General features: G+C 42.7%; 1 annotated feature.

The window, feature by feature from the left end:
* Window positions 703-762: an enhancer, noted in NCBI's record as "active region_17038". NCBI's record gives its function as "activates an Ori minimal core promoter by ATAC-STARR-seq in GM12878 lymphoblastoid cells {active_cell/tissue: GM12878}" and the evidence as "EXISTENCE:reporter gene assay evidence [ECO:0000049][PMID:35858748]".

Raw genomic sequence — 6,478 nt, 5'->3', positions numbered from 1 at the left:
TGTGTCCGTGTGTTCTCATCATTTAGCTTCCACTTATAAGTGAGAACATGAGGTATTTGCAGTGTGACGAATCCAATAGTAGCTTACAGTTATGACAACAGCTGAAGAAGCTGGTGATAAAGGCATGTTTTGTCTTGATGTCAGTTAGAGGTCTACCTGAAAAATAGGTGAGCCATAGACAGTGAATAAATCAAACAAGTGCAAATTTGATAACAAGATGGACCAATAAGTTGTCAATAAGTGGAGAACAAATGTAATACAATTCCTGGTATTCTCTTGGAGAAACCTCTGCTTATGAGTCCTCTAGCTTTCAGCCTCTGTGCCTGGGCTCCATCTATATATCTAGACTCATCCCAGTTACTGAGCCAGTTATGACAAATAGGGAATATGTCAGTATACCAGAAAAGTATAATCCAGAAAAGAGAAACCCTGCTGAGCATTTGAAACAGAGGGAATATGCAGGGAACTGGTTATACAGGAGACAAAAGAGCTGAGAAGCCAAACAATGGATGGTGAGATAATCCAAAGAATTGTGATAGCAGAAAACCAGTACCACTTCTAAACTGGAGGTCAACAGGGAGGAGGTCGTATTTTTTTTTTTTTAAACCGAAGAGGAGGCACTAGGGTCATCTGTTGGGAGCTGGAGCCAGAGAAGAGATGCTGAGATACTGCCCAAGGCAGAGAGGGAGGAGGAAAAATATCCTGGGAAATACAGCTTGCAGTGGTCAGTCTCCTGGGACCCAGAGAACAGCAGCAGAGCGTGAGGACTGGCCCAGGCAGGAAGCCCCATGCAGTGTGTGCATGGGAGGGAGGGAGCTCAGAATCGAGTCTTGGCTGGGGGTGGACCTTGTGTCCACAGTTCTAGGGATGACTACTGCCTGCTGTGAAATCTACCAGTGGCAGCACCTTCTGTCATCACGAGGTCTGGTAGGGTGTGGTGGCTGAGAGAACTGTATCGTTCTTGATAGACATGTGGGTCCCATGGACATAAGCATTTATTCAAAACTAAGTGAGCTATAATATTTAAATTATACCTTGATAAAATATGTATTAACACACACGAAAAGCATCAGGCTCTGGAGTCACACTGTCTATGTTTGCTCCTTATGAGCTATTATGAACTGGACTGTGTCTTCCTCAAATTCATGTGTTGTTGAAGCCTCAGCCCACAATATGACTATATTTAAAGATAGGGCCTTTAAGGAGGTAATTACAGTTAAATGGGGTTCCTAAGGGTGGGACCCTAATCTGACAGGGCTGGTGTTTTTGTAAGAAGAGGAAGAGAAACCAGTGATCTCTTTCCACGAGTGCACAGAGAAGAGGCCATGTGAGGACATAGAAGAAGGTGGCCATCTGCAAGCTGAGAATAGAGGCCTCGCCAGGAACTAACCCTGCCAGCACCTCGATCTTAGATTTTGAACCTCCAGAATGTCAAGAAAATCTATTTCTGTTGTTTAAGCCACCCGGTCTGTGTATTCTGTTATGGCATCTGGAGCTGACTGATATATGAGCTATGTGACTGTGAGCAAAACACATATATTCTGTCTGCCTTAGTTTCTTCATCTGAAAAATGGAGATGATAAAAGTTCCCTCCTCATGGGGTTTTTGGCAGAATTCAGTGAAATATAGTTTAAAGCACTTGGCATGTAGACATGTAGTAAGTATGCCATGTAGCTTTTACTATTCATAAGCCTGAATTTTTGCCTCAGTATCCCTGCCCAGAATCTGGGTCTTCCCTGTAAATGGATGCTGCCTCCCAATTCTCTAGCCCCACACAGGATTTTGCCAGTCCCCTCTCTTGCTGTTCCTGGCACACTCCACCTTTCATTTCGGGTTCTGCTAGCACCACTCAGAACTGTCACCTGCTTTCCTTTTAGCTGTTTGCACTCCACTTGCCAACGTCATCTCCACCCTGAGATTGTCATGTCCTTATGATTATGTGCTTTGACCTATCTACCAAGTGGCTCATGGCTGAGCCAGCCTCTGTATCCATTTCCCATAACCCCATTCTCTCTGGTCCTGGTTCCATCCCATCAGCTTGTGTGCGTAGAATGGTACCCCATATTTCCTGCTTCCTTTAGCATTTAGGCTTTTTATACAGACTCATTGACCTGTGGCAACTCTAGATTTTTCTCTCTAGAAATGTATTGGGTTGGAAAGGGGCAAGTGGATAAGCTTGTTTTGAAGCTGCAGTTGCAGAGCAAGATTGCTGGTTTAGGTTTTGTTTTTAAATTTACGTCATAGGCTTACTTGGGTTGGATTTTAGGGGAAATTATCTGTGCACGTGGGGCCGTGGTCACAGGCCAGTTGGATACAACTTCCCAGCATCAGTCCTTCACTCAGCAAATTGTTACTGGTTTTATGTGGGCATTGGGACCTGTGGTTGTCTATCTGAGGTTTGTTGGGTGGTTTGCAAGCAGTGGTTGTCAAGTTTTCAGTGATTCCCTATGTGTATTTTCCGTTGCTGTATACCTCAAACTTAACAGCATCAAATAACACACATTTATTATCTCAGAGTTTCTGTAGTTTTTAGACTTTTAAAATTGCAAAATGATACAAGCTCATTATAACAAGTTTAAACATTGAGAAGTTTACAAAGTACAAATGATACATATGTCCTCCTTACTCCCCTCTATTCTGACTCTCCCCAGAAATAACTACTGTCAACTGTTAAGTGTATCCATTCCGATTTTTTCTATGCTTAGATGAAGACACATTCACACTCATGCACCCACTTTTTTCCCCACTTTTTTTTTTAAAACAAAACAAAACAAAACAAGAATGGCTCTTACTTAAATTAGGCAGGACTCTTGTTTGCAAGTGATAGAAATGCTGTGTGAAATATCTTAGGCAAAAAGAGGAATTCACTGCCAGAAGAATTTAAATCACAGGACTCTCTCTCTCTTTTTTTCTCTGCTTCTGTCAGATCAGCACTGTCCACAAGCTAGAACTGTGGTCACCAGGAGCTGCCTAGCTGACACCCTCAGGCTTCCCCATACGGAGAGCTTGTTCCTCTGCCTTCTTTTCTACATAAAATATTCCCAAGGAGGTCTTCAATTGGCCTCATGTATCATGGGCTGGGTGCAGTGGCTCATGCCTGTAATCCCAGCACTTTGGGAGGCCGAGGCGGGCGGCAGATCACCTGAGGTCGGGAGATCGAGACCATCCTGGCTAACATGGTGAAACCCCATCTCTACTAAAAATATAAAAAATTAGCTGGACGTGGTGGCACATGCCTGTAATCCCAGATACTCAGGAGGCTGAGGCAGGAGAATTGCTTGAATCCAGGGCGCGAAGGTTGTGGTAAGCTGAGATCGTGCCATTGCACTCCAGCCTGGGCAACAAGAGTGAAACTCCATCTCAAAGAAAAAAAAAAAGTACCTTTGCTGCAAGTAACAGAAAACCCAATTAAGAGTGACTTAAACAATAGGGGCTTATTCTTTTCACAGAACAAGATATCTAGAGGTAGTTGGTCATTATGTGGCTCAGTTGTGCCTGCATTCTGGGTCAGCTTCTCTGAAGCTCTCTAGGTCTTGCCCCCTGGTTGCCACATGGATAAGGCAGCTCTAAACACCATGTCCTCACTTGACAATGTCTTTCTTTTTTTCTTTTTTTGTTTTGTTTTCTGAGACAGGGTCTCGCTCTGTTGTTCAGGCTGGAGTGCAGTGATGCAATCACAGTTCACTGCAGCCTCAGCTTCCTGGATCAAGTGATCTTCCTGTCTTGGCCTCCCTAGTTGCTGGGACTATAAGTGCACACCACCATGCCCAGGTAATTAAAAACATTTTTTTAGTAGAGACAAGGTCTTGCTATGTTGCCCAGGCTGGTCTTGAACTCCTGAGTTAAAGTGATCCTCCCAAAGTGCTGGGATTACAGGCATGAGCCACCAGGCCTGGCCAGCAATGTCTTTCTTAATGTGGCTTCTCTCAAAAGCAAATTCTGAGACAAAAGCTTGTATGCACTGACTTGGGGAGGTGACTGCAGGGCGTAGGGGCAGGGATCAGGGCGGGGAGTGGGGGAAGCAGGGAAAGAGGGGCGGCTAATAGAAAGGTTCATTACTGAGCTGGACAGTGCCGTGAGTAACTGGTGCTAGATTTTGCTGGGACCTCCTGGGGGGCCTTGTGCAATGCATCTCAGAACTGTCAACCTGGGGGATCAAAGAGGGAAGCATTTTTCTGTCAATACTCACTCCTCTAACTAAACAATATAAGAAGGAACATAATTTCCACTTAGTGTTTATAAATATGTAGTATACATAGTTCATAGCTGCATAGTATTTTGTTATAAAAGTGAGCCTATTCTTTTGTTAATGGACATTTAATTCACAGCCCTGGTTTTTATCAAGTTGCTATAAACATCGAAAGGGGCGTGACTTTGGTGAGGGGGTCAATACCAGGACTGAGGACTCCTGTTTTATCCCATTTCAAGACTTTGGCTGGGTGAGGTGGCTAATTCCTATAATCCCAGCATTTTGGGAGGCCGAGGTGGAAGGATCACTTGAGTCCAGGAGTTCAAGACCAGCCTAGGCAACATAGCAAGCTCTTGTCTCTAGAAATTATTTAAAACTTAGCTGGGCATGGTGGTGTGCACCTGTGGTCTCAGCTACTTGGGAGGCTGAACTGGAAGGCTGCTTGAGCCTGAGAAGTCGAGGCTGCAGTCAGCCGAAATTGTGCCACTGGACTCCAGCCTGGGCAACAGAGTGAGACCACCATCTCAAAAAAAAAAAAAAAAAAAAAAGAAGACTTTGGCACATTAAAAAATATAGCAATATTTCATCTTGCTAAAACAATTATTTCACACTAACCTATTCAGAACAAAAATAGAGAAGAGGTAAAAATAGTTTCTAAGTAGCCAAATAGATGACAGACAGTCATGCATTCCAGATGGAATGGGCAGTCCTGCCTGCAGCGTCACTCTGGTTTTGTCTTAAATCTCATACACTTCACTTGTAAGTATCTTGTATCTTTATTAGGATCTCACTTTACCTCATTTTACTTACAAGTTTAACTAGATTGGTATCCTAGTTACTATTTTCCATAGCAAAGGAGAAGAGGAAGGAAGTTGTTAAAGGAAGTCACACTGACAAAACCAAAATTTAAAAAGTGACCACTGACAACCACAGAGGAGGGAAAAACAAAACAAAATAAAACAACAGCAACAAAAACCTTTTAAAAATGACATAAATATGCAAAGAAGATTGGCATTCTATCTGCTCTACAGAACTGTAAAAAACTCTGAGGTTCACAGCCAGAAAGAATGGTTAAAATTGCACTCAGAGTACTCTCTAAGAGGCAAGGAAATGAATAATTTATTCCATGCTATTATATCTTTTCATGCAGTATTGACTCGGTATGATTATTCTTTTTCTGTAATATATTTTAGAGAGATTTCCCAATAAGTAGGTTTAAAATGATGAAAAAAGTTGATTCTCGCTTGAACCCAGGAGGCGGAGGTTGCACTGAGCCGAGATTGCTCCATTGCACTCCAGCCTGGGCAACAAGAGTGAAACTCCATCTCAAAAAAAAAAAAAAAAAAAAGTTGATTCTCAAAGCTCTAGGGAACTTCACTTTCCAAACAACCATTTTCCATGGACTTTTAGCCAAGAAATTTCCTCCAGCAAGACAGGTGGGGAGCCATGGGGAATGGCTTCTCTGCCCCTCTGCACGAGGGGGCGGTGTCTACCAGCCTCCTCCTCTAATTTAGGCCAGCGGTGTCCAGTCTCAGGAGGGCACTTTGACAATCACCTTCAGCCCTTGCGTGGTGATGGCTTCAATTGGGGAGGCAAATGTAGAGTCTTTCCTCTGCCTTCCTAGAAATTTCTGGACATGTTAGAGGTGAGCTAGAATGCAAAGGGTAAGAAAATAATCCTTTTTCAGGAAGAAAGGAATTTGAGAACTTCTTCTACAAAAACTATAAATAACACACGTGCCATTCATGCCTTGTGTAGTTTGTTTTATTATTAGTAAACAGTAATATCCCAGCAGTGACATCAGCTAACCAGAATATTACTTTGTGTGTGTGTGTTTGTGCACTCACGTGTGTGCAAGTGCTTGAATTTAGCTAATAGTGTGGGACAGATCCTTTTTTTGGCCTTGTTCGAGAATCTTGTAGTCCATGCACCAATCCTTATATCTCTAGTGTTATTACTGTTATTAACTCTGTCACTCCATTGTGTCCATTCACTGTCTTTTCTTCTTCTATTTGTCCTTTTTCTTTGTTTTACGTGCTATGATAGACACAATAATGACCCCCAAAAGGTGTCCATGTCCTCACAACCAGAGCCTGTAAATGTTATGTTACATGGCAAGGGGAATTAAGGTTGCAGATATACTTAAAATTGTTTATCAGCTGGCCTTAAAATAAGAAGATTATCCTGAGTCCTTAAGTGGATAAAGTAGAGGCAAAAGAGTTAGAAACAGAGAAATAGCATTGTGAGAAAGAACTGCTACTGATGAATTTGAAGATGGAACAAGGTCCC

This window comes from Homo sapiens, chromosome 2, assembly GCF_000001405.40.
Source record: "Homo sapiens chromosome 2, GRCh38.p14 Primary Assembly".
Taxonomy (NCBI): Eukaryota; Metazoa; Chordata; class Mammalia; order Primates; family Hominidae; genus Homo; species Homo sapiens.
Note: the sequence above shows the minus strand (reverse complement) of the source record. Positions and strands in the feature narration are given on the sequence as shown.